Here is a 15,542-nt window from a genome sequence, read left to right on the forward strand (position 1 = left end):
TATCTTTGTAGCTGGGACTGATTTTGAATTGTTTTCCATTTTTGCATTCTCAAGGACACATTGAGTACTAGAAGTTAAATTCCTTTAAGAAAAATGAGTTTCTGGAATGCCCTGATGCAGTGGCCACTCTTTATGCTCGTATTTTCTTGAGGGGCTCACTTGTCATAAGCAGTGGCTGCGTTTTAATGTGTTACTTGGTCAAATAAGGAGTGCGTGTCTCAGAGACTAGTATTCATCCACAGAAAGTTACCCAAGTGCGTTATGTTTATAAGACTATGTTACTAATTGATCTTGGCTTGATTTTCATGGCAACATGGGTAGTATTCCCTTTACGAAGGTTAAAATGTGAAAACTCATTCATTACTAAGGTTCCAGGCCCTTTCTATAGATTCTCCATTCTCAGAATGTGACATTTTTATTCTGCATACAATGAATTTTGAAAAGGGATATTCTACGACCATTGAAAATCAAAAGAGACTGCATTTTTCCCTCATCAACCACCTGGAAATCTCTCAGAAGTGAGGTGAGACACCTAGTGGGGCTGTGCTGCTGGTTTGATTTACCTGCCAAGCAGAGCATTCTCCTAATCCTGACAATGGTGTTCCTCTTCGTTGAGTGCCGACTTCCCTCTCTTCTACATCAGGCACATTAGAGGAACCAAAACCATACTCCTACAAGTAAGTGAGGTGCCCAGCTCTCAGGCCACCTTTGCATTTCTGAAAGTGAGGGTCCATGCAGAAAACTGTTACAGAAACATGACTGGCTTTTAGGAGCACAGCCGTGATCATTTTCACAGCATATGCTTCTCCAAAAGCCTAGACAATAATGATTTCTATTTTATTTTATTTTATTTTTTTATTTTTTTAAGACAGAGTCTCACGCTGTGGCTCAGGCTGGAGTGCAGTGGCGCGATCTCGGCTCACTACAAGCTCCGTCTCCCGGCTTCACACCATTCTCCTGCCTCAGCCTCCCGAGTAGTTGGGACTACAGGCACCTGCCACCACGCCTGGCTAATTTTTTCTATTTTTTAGTAGAGACGGGGTTTTGCCGTGTTAGCCAGGATGGTCTTGATCACCTGACCTCGTGATCCTCCCGCCTCGACCTCCCAAAGTACTGGAATTACAGGCGTGAGCCACTGTGCCCATGATGATGCTTAGAATAATGATATTTAGAAGAAAAACCTCCATACATGGGCCTGTGAATAAATTATAGTCACTATGGAAGCTGCGTCAGGCAGCCCCTACCCAGTAAGCGACCTTCGTGCTGACCTTCAGGTCTGCAGAGCAGTTGCCCCTTCCATGGGTGTGGCACCAGGCAGAGCAGGGGCAGAAGAGGGGTGTTTCCCACGCACTGTCCCTTCCAGTCCGTCTCAGAGGGGCATCAAAATGAGAAAGAGCTTGTGCTCAAGAGTTGAAACCTTACGACTCTGTTGCAGGTTTTTTGTTTCTTTCATTGCTGGTTTGCCACGCAGCTCAGGGGCCCTTTAGACGGGAGAGATTGTTGCTCTTCAAGGGAGTGAAGTGAAGATGGTGCCTTAGAGGTGTTCTGACAGTGCACGGGGAGTCCCGGAGTGACTCCTCCATGAGTGGAAGGAACTCAGTGTCATTGCCAGTCGAGGAGAAAGGAAACAGTTCAACAGCTATTTTTGTTTGTTTTGTTTGTCTTGGGTTTGTTTTGTTTCGTTTTGTTTTTGAGACAGGGTTTCGTTCTGTCACCCAGACTGAAGTACAGTGGCGCAATCACAGCTCAGTGCAGCCTTGACCTCCTGGGCTCAAGTGATCCTCCCACCTCAACCTCCTGAGTAGCTGGGACCACAGGCTTGTGCCCAGCTAATTTTATTTTTCGTACAGACAGGGTCTTGTTCTGTTGCCTAGGCTGGTTTGAATTCCTGGGCTCAGGCAATCCTCCTACCTCAGCCTCCCAAAGTACTGGGACTACAGGCGTGAGCCACCTCACCCAGCCCCAACAACTATTTTTGAATGGTTCCTTGAAAAGTTCCATTAAAGGCCAGGCACAGTGGCTCACACCAATAATCCCAGCATTTTGGGAGGCTGAAGTGGATGGATCACTTGAGGTCAGGATTTCAAGACCAGCCTGGCCAACATGGCAAAACCCCATCTCTACTAAAAATACAAAAATTAGCTGGGCGTGGTGGCATGCACCTGGAGTCCCAGCTACTTGGGAGGCTAAGACACGAGAATAGCTTGAACCCAGGAGGCAGAGGTTGCAGTGAGCCAAGATTGCACCACTGCACTCCAGCCTGGATGGCAGAGCCAGACCCTGTCTCCGAAAAAAAAAAAAAAAATCACACACTAACCCTCTTCTCTTCCTCCCTCTCCTGGCTTAGCCAGTGCAGTCAAGTCCTTGAATGGCGTGCTCCCTGGCCCTCAGGAGAGGACATTGCCTATCGAGTGGAGACTTGGTAAGGAAATTGTTCCCATTTCTAAGATGGAGAGTTCTGGACTCTGGACCTTCTATTAGGAGTTTACAGGCCTGTACTGCCACCTCCCTGGGCCAGAGCTTTTGCAGATATTCCTAGAGAACAGGTAAAAGCAATGAGCTTGGGGTAAGAGCTTAGACCAACTGAAGGCTCTCTGCCTCCCTCCTCCTCTAAGAGGCCTGCCCTGGCTGTGACACCAAAAAGCGCACTCGGGCCTCTGTGCCCAACTCTGCCCTTTCACCATCTGCCCCTGTCACACCAACGTCAGCATGAGTTACACAGTTGTGTTGCCCTTTGTGGCTACTCTCCCCACACTTACTAGAATGTGAGCCCCATGCGGCAGCGATCTTCATCCTTTTTCTTTTCCTCTATTCCAAGTACCTAGAATAGTGCCTGGCAAAGGCACTTAGTGCACAATTAGTGTTTTTTAAAAAAAAAATGATAGGAAGCAAGCAGGAGATACATAGCAAGTACAAGACATTTTCAGTGGCTTGCAGTCAAAAGTGTCACTGAGGTCCCCCCAGCTGCCCCTGCCCCGGCTGGCCCAAGGATGAGATAGGTGGCTGCTCTGGGGTCATGTCTTGCTTTATAGCCTGGCCTGTTGGGTCTCCAGGAGCCTTTTGAGTCTTGCCTGTTTGACAGAGAAGACTGAGGCCCAGAGGACGGAAGGGATGGGACTGGCACCCAGTGAGCTTTTCCCTTCATCAAGATGCTTACACAGGTGATGTCCATCATTCAGCTTGGGTCAGGTGCAGACCATGCACGTGGTGGTGGTGCGTGCGATGGACATGAAGTAGCTGACCCTGTGTAGAGATGACATTTCCCATCGGGTGTGGAACTGGGAGTTCAACCCTTTGGCTTACCACCCTAATCTGCATCCACACTAGAGAGTCACACAGCCCAGGTAGTATTTGGATTTCAACCCCGGGAAAGAATAGCAACCTGCCGCTTGGTGGCAGCATGGGAGCTGGGGTTTAGTGAGGAGGGGAAGCAGTTGTGTAGGCATCAGCAGTCATAGCACCAGGCCGAGGCGAGACCCTCCGAGCGGAGTCCGGCTGGTTAAAGGGCCTGCACGGGTCTCTCACAGAAGAAGGAAAGCTGGTCCTGAGGGTGGAGCCAGGGGAATCTGGGGGCCACTTCAGCATTCTTTGTTGCCATTGGCTTTGGTTCAGTAAGCTTTGTTGATTTATTTTGTTGTTGTTATTGTTGTTAGAGTGATGGGGCTGATTGCTTATAAGTTCTGAGGTTCTTATTTGCGTTTCCAGCTCCCTGGGTATTCATTCATACCTGGTTTCTGGCTGTGGTGAAATGTCTTCTGACCAAGTGGGTTGATAAACAGGGGGCTTCGCTGGAGCGGGGGCAGGGGGCGCGGTCACTGAACAGAGAAAAAACTCAACTCATCCTCATCTCTGAGGGGACTCTTTCCCCCAGCCAGTGCCTTCTGCAGTTTCCTGCTCTATCTATATTCCACCCACTTAACCCACCTCTAAGAGTTATTTTAAAACAGCATTCTAGAACCCATCTCTCAAGCAAGAGGGAAGTCTCCAATGGCTCATCCTGTGCCCCGCCTGCATCTGCGGGCACCTGCAGTGCCGGGACGCTCACAGCCCGCCCCCAGGACCTGTGGGGGGAGTTCAGCTGCTTCGGCTGCTTCTGCTGCTCCGCGTGCACATGGGCCTCCTTACCACCCTGGCAGTCTCCTCCTCTTGGAAGTTTTAACTATTCAAGACTCAATGGCCAGGCGCGGCGGCTCATGCCTGTAATCCCAGCACTTTGGGAAGCTGAGGCAGGAAGATCACTTGAGGTCAGGAATCGAGACCAGCCTAGCCAACCTGGTGAAACCCCGTCTCTGCTAAAAATACAAAAAATAATAATTAGCCAGGCATAGTGGCAGTGCCTGTAATTCCAGCTACTCAAGAGGCTGAGGCAGGAGAATCACTTGAACCTGGGAGGTGGAGGTCGGAGTGAGCTGAGACCACGCCACTGGACTCCAGCCTGGGCGACAGAGCAAAACTCTATCTCACAAACAAAAACAAGGCCGGGCACAGTGGCTCACGCCTGTAATCCCAGCACTTTGGGAGGCCGAGGCGGGCAGATCACGAGGTCAGGAGTTCGAGAGCAGCTTGGCCAACATAGTGAAACCCCGTCTCTACTAAAAATACAAAAATTAGCCGGGTGTGTTGGCACGTGCTTGTAGTCCCAGCTACTTGGGAGGCCGAGGCGGGAGAATCGCCTGAACACAGGAGGCAGAGGTTGCAGTGAGTTGAGACCACGTCACTGCACTCCAGCCTGGGCGACAGAGTGAGACTCCGTCTCAAAAAAAAAAAAAAAAAAAAAAAAAAGACAAGTATTTGAAGATTAAAAATGTGTTCCCTCTCTGAATTCTTTTTTTTTTTTTTTTTTTTTTTTTCTTCCAGACAGAGTGTCACTCTGTCGCCCAGGCTGGAGTGCTGTGGTGCGATCTCAGCTCACTGCAACCTCCGCCTCCCAGGTTCAAGTGATTCTCCTGTGATCTCAGCTCACTGCAAGCTCCGCCTCCCGGGCTCAAGCGATTCTCCTGCCTCAGCCTCCCAAGTATCTGGGATTACAGGCGCCCACCACCACACCCGGCCTCCTCCCTAAATTCTTGCTTCTCCAAGTTAAGCTGCCCCAGTTATTTTCAGGTGTTCTAGAACAAGACAGGAAGACTTCTCATCAATCATTTGTTCATGTGTTCATTCATTGTAGCCATATTTTGAGGGTTAAGGTAGGAGAAGCACCTCTGTGCTGACCCCTGGAGATACAAAAATAAACAAGGTAAAACCTCCTGGCCTCGACTACCTCATCGCACAGGGAGGCGAGGGGCACTGGTGTGATACTAGGATGGGCTGATGCTGCGTTCAGGAAGGCCAGGGCCCTGGCCGAAGGGAGTCAGGCCTGGGTACAGGGGAGGCACGTAGAGGTGGCGGTGCACCGAGTCCGCTCAGTGGGAGAGAGAGGAGTGGCACGTGCAGAGGCAGGCGCCAGGGGCCTGGCTCATCTCCAACTCAGGCGTGGGGGCAGCGGCTGGGCCGCCAACTCCTGGGCAGGCTCTTTCTTGTCACTAGCCCAACATGTTATGTCTCAGACTCTGAGACACTGCACTTCTGTGAAGGGGCCTTCATTCCCCAGTACTTCATTAGGGAGTGACCTAGCAGGCTTTGGGCAGGGTTGTGCTGCTGCCAGACCAAAGCAGACTAATGCTGCACCAGACAGCCAGAGCCTGGCGAACCCAGAGAGCCTGGCATGAGACTGCCTGTGCTGGCGCCTACCAAAGCAAGGCCTGCTCTGACTCGCCTCAGCCTCCTCTCAGGAGGAAGCTGCCAGCAGGCGTGGGTAGGCGTGAGCACATTCTCAAAGCAGTTATGTTTTGCATGGAAGTCAGCTGGGAAGTAGGAGCATATGTAGTCATGTTCATTAATGTGGCACCAGAAGTCCCTGGGTGGAGCATGCCTCAGAGAGCATTTCCAACCCGCCACCACCCTCCACTCCACCCCTTCCCAAACGCACCTGTGCACTCCGCGAGTTCTGCTCTGCCAGTCACTCCCCTGCTACAGGCTGGCCTCCGCTGCTCTTTAGTACACAGCTCGGCTGTCTCTGGGACATGTGGTTCTCGTGCTCTCCACCCTAATCCACTGGCCACTCCTCTGCTACCTCCATTCTGTGGGCTCTAGAGGGCTCCAACAAGCTTGTCCCATGCTGCTCGGACATCTCCTCAGCCTGTCGCTGTGGGTGGGAGTTGCTGCTCCCCAGAATGGTGATGCTGTGTGTCCTTTTGTGTTGATATCACTAAGTACATAGGGCACATTTTGCTGGCTTGCATTTCCTGGTTTGGGAATACTTTATCTGAAATGCTTGGGACCACCCACAGGTGTTTCGGGTTTGGGGTTTTTTCAGATTTTGGAATATTTGCATTATACCTACTGGTTAAGCATCCCAAATTTGAACATCTGAACTCTGAAATGCATGAGTGAGCACTCCCTTTTAGCATTACATCCGCACTCAGGTTCAGGTTTTGGAGTATTTTAGATTTCAGATGTTTGGATTTGGGATACTCCACCTGTATATTTCATTAATTTAACCAAAACACTGGAACTTTGCTGACAAAGTTAGTCATGTTATCCTGTGTCAAGGCCAAGAGAACAGAGGAAAGCAATCCCCATGCTCCTTTCTGATCCCAAGGAAGAGTGAATAGGGTCAGGCCAGACTCTGGCCCCTCTGCCACAGCGTTTTGTCCCCCAGGTAGGTGCTGCTGCTGTGACTTGGGTGGGGGCTGCAGCACAGGGGTCCCTCAGAAGCACAGCAGTTTTGGGGCCAGGCAGAGTGGCTCACACCTGTAATCCCAGCACTTTGGGAGGCCGAGGCAAGAGGATCGCTCAGGCCAGGAGTTCAAGACCAGCCTGGGCGGGCAACATGGCGAGACACCCCGTCTCTACAAAAAAAAATTTTAGAATTAGCCAGACGTGGAGATGCGCTCCTGTGGTCCCAGCTACTGGGGAGGCTGAGGAGGGAGGATCACTTGAGCCCGGGAGATTGAGGCTGCAGTGACCTGTGATCCTGCCCACTGCACTCCAGCCTGGGTGACTTCAAGACCCTATCTCAAAAAAAAAATAAAAAATAATACATTTTAAAGGAACAATTTTGGGTATAGATGAGTAGCACCACCTTTATTATTTCTTTTTTTTTTTTTTTTTTGGTTGAGTTGATTGCTATATTTCTTTTCTTTTTGAGAGTGTAACACATTTGAAGTGCCATTTAATATGTTGGGTAGTCGATGGGTCAAAAGTATTGACAAAACTAGACTTTTCATTTTAATTTTAATGGGAGTTTCTGTCTTTTTGCTATAAGTTGTATATTTCCGGAATAGCTTTGATGTGTGTTAACACAGACCACATATACCAGTAATGGGTGCAGCTGAGTATAGGTGGAATGAGAGTAATGAAGCAAGACCTAAGCCCTGCCCTGGGAGCAGGCCGCATTCTCAAGAGAGAAGGCTCACCAGCCCAGCAGTCCTCTAATGGGGAAGAGACAGGACAGAGCCGGAGGGGAAGAGGGATGCAGAAGGAGGCCCTCCGGGAAGGAGGCCTGGGCAGGCAGGGCAGTCCTCCCAGAGGGGATTCGGGCGATTGTGGGAAGCAGAGAGCAGACATGCAGGTGGGAGCCCTGCCCCAGGTTAGGCAAACAGGCAACAAACACGTCTGGAGGGGTTGGTGCCGTCCTGAGTGCAAGTGGGTGTGGAGTACCTGGAGCCACTGGGCCAATTCCTCTGCAAGCCCAGCAGGATCCCAAGCCGAACCCCACGCTGCATGGGATTCATGAATGGTAGAACAGGGTTGCAGCCCCTTCACCACAGCAGGAATGTTGCCAGCACCTCAGGAGTTGGTGCCAGGCTGCACACACGCAGGCATTTCGCCCCACAGCACCGAGGACGGCCTTGTCCTCACAGCCTGGGCAGCTGCTGGAGCACGTTGATACCTGGCCACCCCTAGCTGCATGGGAGTCTTGAAAGTGTGCTTTCACAGCCAGGCAGCTGCGTGCAGGCTGGAAACCAGGGCGCTGTCACTCAAGCAGAGGGGAGAATGGCTGCTAGGGGACCACCAGCATCCGTGCCATGAAGGTGAATCAGAGACAGGTGCCACTGGCAGTAGCACTTTTATCTTTTGGGGGGCCTTAATTTTTGTTAAGCCTTAAATTTTGGTAAATCCCCAGGCCTGAAAAGGGTGTGAAAATCAGGACTTCTGAACCCAAGCAAAACAATACAAAGTTGGGTTTGGGGAAAAAGGTGGAAAGAGTCCAACCAGCTGGGCACAGTGGCTCACACCTGTAATCCCAGCACTGTGGAAGGCTGAGGCAGGGGAAAGGCTTGAGCCCAGGAGTTCGAGACCAGCCTGGGCAACATGGCAAAACCCCGTCTCTACAAAGAAAAAAAAAATAGAAAAAATTAGACAGGTGTGGTGGCACGTCCCTGCAGTCACACAGCTACTTGGGAGGCTGAGGTGGGAGGATCACCTGAGCCCAGGCAGGTCAAGGCTTCAATGAGCCGCGATCGTGCAACTGCCCTCCAGCCTGGGTGACAGAGTGAAATCCCGCCTCAAAAAAGTTCAGTCACTGCGAGTGCAGAAAGCCTCTAGCCAGACTGAGAAGTCTGCGTGTAAAAAACCTCAGCCTGGCCGGGCACGGTGGCTTACGTCTGTAATCCCAGCACTTTGGGGAGGCTGAGGTGGGCGGATCACCTGAGGTCAGGAGTTTGAGACCATCCTGACCAACATGGAGAAACCCCATCTCTACTAAAAATACAAAATTAGCCAGGTGTGGTGGCACATGCCTGTAATCCCAGCTACTCTGGAGGCTGAGGCAGGAGACTTTTCTTGAACCCAGGATGCGGAGGTTTCTGTGAGCCAAGATCGTGCCATTGCACTCCAGCCTGGGCAATGAGACCAAAACTCCGTCTAAAAAAAGAAAAAAAGCCTCAGCCTTCTCAGCAGTACCAAAAAAGCCTCACTTATCTAAGCTGAAATGCTGTCATCTGCTCAGTGGAAACCTCACGGCCAAAAGACTTCTTGCCAATCAAATTACTGTTTTCTTTTTACCTGTAGAAAAGGAGACTCACTTCACATCCATGTGGGTCCAATGTGCAACCCCTGAAGGGTGCTCTGGGAGGCTTTAGGAAGTGCCCGCTGGCTCGAAATAGAAATGCAGAAGGGGCAAGTGCAGCCTTTTAAGCCACTGCTAAGACAAGCAGGTCCCAACTGTGGGAGGCTAGAATGTTCTCAGAAGAGCAGTGAAAAGAGCCCAGGAGTTAGAGCCGGCGAGGCCGGACCGGTCTGTCTTCCTCTCTGAACCTGAGTTTCCCTGTCTGTGAGGCCTCAGGCCGTGGTAGTGGTAAAGTCTTGCTGCTGCTTGGTGGGCTTCCGCAGACTGGAACACATGACAGCATTTTCTACAAAACACCATTAAAAACATTATTTTGGCTTATATAAGTAATACATGTGCCCTGTAGAAAATTTGGAAAATATAAAGAAGGAAATCACCTGTTACCCCACCACCCACAGTGACTACTGTTCTTTGGGGTTTTTCCATACATATTCTGTGTGGGATCTCAGAGCACAAGCTGTTTTATAACCTGCTTCTGCTCTTGAGCTTTTCTCAGCATGTCACCACCTCACTAGATTCCTCACACTGTCCTCCCTGTCTGCACAGGACCCCAGAGGAGGGGTGGGGCTGTAGCCACTCTTCAGTGTCAGCAAGCCCTTACAGTTTCCCTGTTCTCAGTCATTGTTCACTTATATTTCTGTAGGGCAACGGGACTCGAGGAAGGGGGGCTGTTTTGCCCCCTAAGGGGCATTTGTGAATGTCTAGACATTTTTTATTGTCATAAGTTGGGGAAGCGAGGACTACTGGCATGCAGCAGTTGGAGGCCAGGGCTGCTGCTGGACGTCCTGCAGCGCACAGGACGGCCCCCACCAGAGTGGTCCGGCCCAAGTGTCTGGAGCGCCACTGCGGAAACCCCGCCGTGGACTCCTTCCCTAGCTGGGAAGTCCCTGAGTGGACAGGAGGGACAGCTGAGGTGGGGCTTGGTGCAGCCAGATTGCCCTGCAGGGAGATGTGTCCAACAGCCAGAACATCTCCCTGTGTCCCTGCCGCCCCTAGATACTGTCCTTTGCTGTCCATGTTTGACAGTGCTTTCAAGGAGAATTGCCTGTTAAAGTCTGCGGAGTCTGAGGAAAAAGGAAGGCTGTCTAGACTGTGGTTGGAGGCTCCGTGGAACTAGTGGCACAGGCAGACGACTGTAGCTCCCCCACTGAGGGGAGTGTATTTTAGGCCCTGCCTGGTCCCCAAAAGAATTAATGCAGTAAGATAAAATACGTGAGGCACAGGGAGGAGAGTGGGGCCCGGAGAGCTGGGGGTCCAGGCCCTGTGGGCGCCACAGGCCAGCCAAGGCCCCACCCACCTTCAGAGTTTTACTGCCTCAGAAGTGGTCCTGAGCCAGGCCCAGCCTTCTCGGCCTCCCCGGACAGTGCGTTGAGAGGCCTGCATGGGGTGATTAGGGGTTCCGCTTGTTTGACCACCGGTGGTTCTAGGAGTGCCCCACTCTGAGAGTCAACATGGGAAAAGGGGAGCGTTGAAACACAAGTGTTAGGCCTGCCCAGCCATGCCCTCAGCCCTGTGTTCACCTCGGAGTGGGGCCCACACCACCCCAGCGATTGTCAGGCTGGCTCTGCCCAAGCCGTGATGAGAGGGACTGAGCCAGCAGGAGGGGCTGCCGCTGTTGAGCGGGAGGAGGGCAGCACTGACAAGGCCCCCTGGGGGTGGGGCTTTGCTGGTCAGGTCCCCACTGGGTCTGCACCCCTTCCTCACTGCCCTCAGCCTCCCCTTTCTGGAGGGGCTCACTTCCTGTGCTCACCTCGGGCCCTTCGTCCCCGCCCTTCTCCCAAGACTCTCGATTGTACAGCTCGGCCTATCCTGGCCCGGGCCTTCCTAGCAAAAGGCTAAGCCAGAAACTGGCCTTGTGCCCAGGCTGGTCAGCCAGGGAGGGCCCAGTCTAGGGTCCAAAGGCTGGATGCAGAAGTCCCCCCAGCCTTCTGCACCAGGGGACCTGCCCCCTATGCCCCTAGCCTACCAGGTGTTCACTCAGGGAGGTGGACACTTCAACCCTGCCCTTAGGACCCCCCACAAGCCAAGCCCAGCAGCAGATTCAGGGATGCACCCCACTGCTGCTCCTGGGCCCCAGTGTCTAGGTTGGCAATCCCCTCGTGTCCCAAGGAGGTGAGAGCCCAGTGATCCGCAGCTTTTAGTGTCCAGGTGGGCATGGAGATGCAGGATGAGGCCTGTCCCAGACCCTGATCCCCAGGGGTGGGGCAGAGGAGGCCCTGGCCAGCAGGTGGCAGCACAGGCTGCGTCCTTGGCGCTTAGGAGCTGGAGGAAGGTGGGGAGCAGGATTCCTAGCCCCCGCTGGCTCACCTATCCGCCTCCACTCCCTGAGCTGGCCGAGCCCCTCAGGGTGCCCAATCATGGTAGGAGCCCTGAGCCAGAGGCTGGGCAGGGACAGTGGCAACTGGCAACTAGGGTGAGTTGGCGGGGGGGTTGCACCAGGGACCAGGGCGACCAAGCCCTAAACAGCCCCAACCCCCCTTCTGCCCAGGGTCCCTACCTTGTGGTTCCACCTTGAGGCCAAGGGGCTGGACACCCAGAGGCCCCTGAAGAGGAGCCTGCCAGTAAAGGGGGGACCAGTGGCTCCCCAGGGCTGCTAGAGGGTCTTGAGGACTGAGCCCAATGACCAGTGGAGCCAGGGGGGCTGTTCAGCCTGAAGGCCGAGGCTGGGAGGGAAGGAAGCAGGGAAGAGAAGATAGAGAGTAGGTGTTGGCGGGGTAGGAAGGAGGCAGGGAGATGCCTGCATCTGATAGTGTTGCAGCTTGGAAGACTGGAGGAGGAAGCCAGTTGGAGGGACCGGAAAGCTCTCAAGTTTCTGAGGTCAACCCCCCACCTCCACTATCCCTACCTCCCCCACCCTGCAGGATGGGCCTGAGGAACGTGCCAGGCTCCACACCCAGGCCTGAATGCCCTCAGATGCTCAGGCCTGGAGCTCCTCCCTCGCTCTCTCCCATGTTCCTGCCTGCACAGCCCGATAGACACGAGGGAAGGGGCCCATGGACTAGGTAGGGCAGGCAGAACAGAGTGGCCACCTCCTGGCTCTTGTCCCATCTCACAGAAGGCGAGGCCCACAGCAGGCCCAGGACTCAAGACTCCTGGGGCCTGGCTGCTGCCCTTCCCCCTCCCCCCTGGGAAAGGAGAGGCACCACTCAGACGCAGGCAGGCCAAAACCCTAGTTTATTTCAGCATCAGCAGTATCTTAGCCATCAAAAAAATAAACTCTACCAAGGGTGACGGAAGTCTCTACAGCAAGGCTAAGGGCTCGCCAGACGGCGAACATCAGGGGTGCATGGTGGGCACTGCCCAGGCAATAAGTTAGGAAGCAGCAGGGCTGGTGTCGGGTGTGGGCCGGGCTTCATTTCTGGGCAGGCATGAGGTCGTCGATGGCCTGGCCCTGCTCCAGCCGCTGCTCCATCTCGATGAGCAGCTTCACTCCGTCCACCACCATCTGCACCAGCTCCACCTCTGAGAAGCCCAGGCGGTCAGCGTTGGAGACGTCGAAGACCCCGCCCACCGCAGCCGTGTCCACACCGCCTGGGGAGACAGCAAGTCAGGGCGGAGGAAACAGGGCTGCCCAAAGGCCACGGGAAGCCGCAGCACCTGCCCTGCTCACCTGTGCCTCGCTTCTGAAGTCGCAGCCGCTTAAGCACCTCCGAGAACTTCTCATGCTTGCCCAGGTTGGGCAGCTTGATATGCACACCTGCCCGCAGCCCGGTGCCCAGGTTGGATGGGCAGGTGAGGATGTAGCCCAGGTGAGGGTTCCACATGAACTCATAGTCCTTAGACTTGAAGAGAGTTTCAATCTGCAGACGGAGAAGAGGGTATGAGGGAGAAGGCCTGCCTGAAACCCCTACAGGCCCTGAGACTCCCCAGTGCCGGAAATCCCCCGGGGGGACTGATGCTGGGGCACCCACATCCCTGCTGGGGCCCTGGGGTCTGGGCCTGCCCCGTCCCTGGCACCTGGGTGAGGCCGGTGCAGAAGCGGGTGAACACCTCCTTCATGTTGCCCCCCTTCTGCATGGAGATGACCCGCAGGTGGTCCTCCTCGTTGACCCACACCAGGAAGGTCTTATTGTCATTGTGCCTGCGGGAGGGCTGGTCTCAGGGCATACCCAGAAAAAAGCCCCAGGCCGCCCCCAGACCAAAGGAACTTCCCAAGTCCCTGAGGTGCTGCTCCCTGCCATGCCCAGGAGTGGAGGCTGCTGCCAAGACTCCACCCGCCAACACGGGGCGGGCGGGGGAACCGGGACGCCTCACAGCAGGAGAACCCCAGCTGCCATCATGCGCTGTGGCCTGAGGTGGGGCGGGGCCAGGGACCGCCAGGACAGCCCGACCCGCCCCCCACAGTGGGGGTAGGAGCCCTGCCCCTGGAGAAGCTTTGGCGTCACCAGCCCCTGGTAGAATCCCAGCGGCGGAGGAGTGAGAAAAGAAAACAAAGAGCTCCAGCTCCCAGGGCCGTCGGGGAGAGGCGCCAGAGAGCCCCGCCCCCACCTCACGTCTCGGGGTGGGGAGGTGTTGCTGAGTCCTGAGCCCCCACGGGCCGGGGCCCAGTCCCTTAACGCACCTGCTCGGCCAAGGTCACCGGCGCAGGAGGAGGCGCGGCACGGAACCCAGACCCGGAGCGCGGCCGGCCCCTCCCTCCTCCTCCTCCTCCTCCTCGCCGCGAGGGGCCCCACCCCCGCGAGGGGGGCGAGAGGGAAAGCGGAGGTAGCGGGGAGGGAGGACGCCGCGAGAGGGCGCAGAGGGACACGCACCAGATACCGCGGGCGTCGGGCCAGTCGCGGGCCATGCCCGAGGCCAGCAGCAGGGGCGACACGGGCTTGTCGAAGAGGAAGTGGTCGTCGATGAGCTGCTGCTGCTCCGCCTCCGTCATGCTCTTGAGCGCGTAGTATCGGCCCGCCAGGTCGCCGTCCAGGCTGGACAGGGCTGCGAGGGGTGCGCTCAGGACGCTCGGCTCCCGCGCCCGCCCCTCCAGCCCGCAGCGCGGACCCGCCCGCCCCCGTGCCCCACCTCGGGGGACGTCAGAGGGCCCCACCCGCCCGGATCTGCGGGCGTCCAGTCCTCACGGCCCGGGCGACGGTCCCAGGCGGTGACCCCGCGCCAGGACCCGCCCTCCCTGGGCCCCAGGCCGCTGTGGGCGCGGGGCTGGGCCTCCGTCCCTCGGTCCCTCCGGGAAACTGAACCCGGGCGCGCGCAGATAAGAGCGCGACGGCGGCTGCCGCTCCCGGGCGACGTAAACAAAAGCGGGCGGGGACCGCGCCGGGAGGGGGACGCGGCCGCCGCCGCCCCTCGGCCCGCCCGGCCCCTACCTTCCACCGCGAGCTTCTCGATGGCGCGGCGCTCCCCGCGGCTGCAGTGCGGGGGGAGGCAGAAGCCACGGATGCTGCGGCCCGTGCGCACCCGCGAGCTCAGCACGTAGTTGGGGTCCAGGTCGTCGCCGCCCTGGGAGGCGAGACGGGAGTGAGCGCCCGAAGACCCCGGCCCCGCCCGCCCGGCCCGCCCGCAGCCCCGCACCTGCAGGTTGTCGGGGTTGAGGTCGGTCTTGTGCTCATCGCTGGGCTTGTAGCCGCCGTGCCGGTCCTCGATGATGGGGTCGAAGAGATCCTTGAACACTTCGTAGGACTCCTCGTCGCCCGCCACGCAGCCCACGGTCATGATGTACGGGTGGCCTGGGGGAGGGGGCGCGGGACGGGGACAGTGACGTCACTGCCGGGCCCGAGCGCGCTGCTGAGGACCCTGCGGCTGCGCGGGGGGAGGGGGGGCCGGGACCCCGGCCCCGAGGGGTCGCGTACCCGGGTTGTCCACGCCTGTCTGGATGACGTCGTCCAGCGTGAAGCCGCTCGGCGTGCTCTTGGCGCGCAGCTCCGCGTACAGCTCGGGGGTCAGCACCTTGGCCATGTGGTTGTTGTGGGCGCTCAGGTCGGGGAACTCGTCCTCGGCCGGGAAGCGCAGCTTCAGTGCGTTGTGGCTGTTGGAGAAGGGCATGGCGGCGGCGGGCTGCGGGGAGACGCGGGGTCAGAGGGGACCGGCACGCCGGGGTTCCCGGGCTCCCGCGTACCACTCAGGCCCCCGCCGCCGGGCCCCCCGGCGCCCCCCGGGACGCGGCCAAGGTCAGCGGGGTCCGCAGCGCGCGCGGGGAGCGCCATCATCGCCGGGGACCCCCGGCCGGTCCGGCGCGCGCTCCAGGCGACGCGCCCCCTTTGCACGCAGCGCCCCTAGCCCGGGCGCGGACGCCCCCGGCCCCCGGGCCCACTCACCGGGCGGCCGGGCGGGGGCGGGGGCGCTCCGTCCGTCGGCAGCTCCCGGAGCGACGCAGGCGAACAGCGGCCGCTCCGCGCTCCCGCGGCTCTTAAGGGGCACAACGCGGGCCGCCCATTGGCGGCTATTTATAGCCCATTCATTCCATTGGCCCGCGCCGCGGGGTGGTGCCGCC

At 56.6% G+C, this 15,542-nt stretch overlaps 1 protein-coding gene and 1 long non-coding RNA gene across 3 annotated transcripts, besides 6 other annotated features; both read right to left on the reverse strand.

The window, feature by feature from the left end:
* LOC112268130 (uncharacterized) lies at nucleotides 1–4,251 on the reverse strand. The gene is made up of 2 exons (XR_002957595.1): nucleotides 4,126–4,251; nucleotides 1–3,815 (listed from the first exon to the last, which is right to left on the reverse strand). It is a non-coding gene; the product is annotated as an uncharacterized LOC112268130 (long non-coding RNA).
* Nucleotides 10,345–11,232: an enhancer, noted in NCBI's record as "H3K4me1 hESC enhancer chr14:103984081-103984968 (GRCh37/hg19 assembly coordinates)". NCBI's record gives its function as "activates a minimal SCP1, AML or CMV promoter by ChIP-STARR-seq in naive H9 embryonic stem cells {active_cell/tissue: H9 hESC(naive)}" and the evidence as "EXISTENCE:reporter gene assay evidence [ECO:0000049][PMID:30033119]".
* Nucleotides 12,268–15,431, reverse strand: CKB (creatine kinase B). Of its 2 annotated transcripts, NM_001823.5 has the most exons (8): nucleotides 15,367–15,431; nucleotides 14,902–15,106; nucleotides 14,624–14,778; nucleotides 14,419–14,551; nucleotides 13,864–14,035; nucleotides 13,070–13,193; nucleotides 12,723–12,912; nucleotides 12,268–12,643 (listed from the first exon to the last, which is right to left on the reverse strand). In NM_001823.5, the coding sequence occupies exons 2-8, from the start codon at nucleotides 15,092–15,094 to the stop codon at nucleotides 12,465–12,467; spliced, it is 1,146 nt and encodes a 381-aa protein (NP_001814.2). In that variant the 5' UTR covers nucleotides 15,095–15,106; nucleotides 15,367–15,431; the 3' UTR covers nucleotides 12,268–12,464. The 2 variants fall into 2 exon arrangements, with proteins under 2 accessions (NP_001814.2, NP_001349460.1); NM_001362531.2 differs by having other exon boundaries at nucleotides 14,419–14,778.
* Nucleotides 13,009–13,896: an enhancer, noted in NCBI's record as "H3K27ac-H3K4me1 hESC enhancer chr14:103986745-103987632 (GRCh37/hg19 assembly coordinates)". NCBI's record gives its function as "activates a minimal SCP1, AML or CMV promoter by ChIP-STARR-seq in naive H9 embryonic stem cells {active_cell/tissue: H9 hESC(naive)}" and the evidence as "EXISTENCE:reporter gene assay evidence [ECO:0000049][PMID:30033119]".
* Nucleotides 13,009–14,039: a biological region, named in NCBI's record as "H3K27ac-H3K4me1 hESC enhancer GRCh37_chr14:103986745-103987632".
* Nucleotides 13,670–14,039: a silencer, noted in NCBI's record as "silent region_6154". NCBI's record gives its function as "represses an Ori minimal core promoter by ATAC-STARR-seq in GM12878 lymphoblastoid cells {active_cell/tissue: GM12878}" and the evidence as "EXISTENCE:reporter gene assay evidence [ECO:0000049][PMID:35858748]".
* Nucleotides 14,050–14,119: a silencer, noted in NCBI's record as "silent region_6155". NCBI's record gives its function as "represses an Ori minimal core promoter by ATAC-STARR-seq in GM12878 lymphoblastoid cells {active_cell/tissue: GM12878}" and the evidence as "EXISTENCE:reporter gene assay evidence [ECO:0000049][PMID:35858748]".
* Nucleotides 14,260–14,309: a silencer, noted in NCBI's record as "silent region_6156". NCBI's record gives its function as "represses an Ori minimal core promoter by ATAC-STARR-seq in GM12878 lymphoblastoid cells {active_cell/tissue: GM12878}" and the evidence as "EXISTENCE:reporter gene assay evidence [ECO:0000049][PMID:35858748]".
* Nucleotides 15,432–15,542: the final 111 nt, after the last annotated feature.

The sequence above is a fragment of the Homo sapiens genome, chromosome 14 (assembly GCF_000001405.40).
Source record: "Homo sapiens chromosome 14, GRCh38.p14 Primary Assembly".
In the NCBI taxonomy this organism is placed as follows: Eukaryota; Metazoa; Chordata; class Mammalia; order Primates; family Hominidae; genus Homo; species Homo sapiens.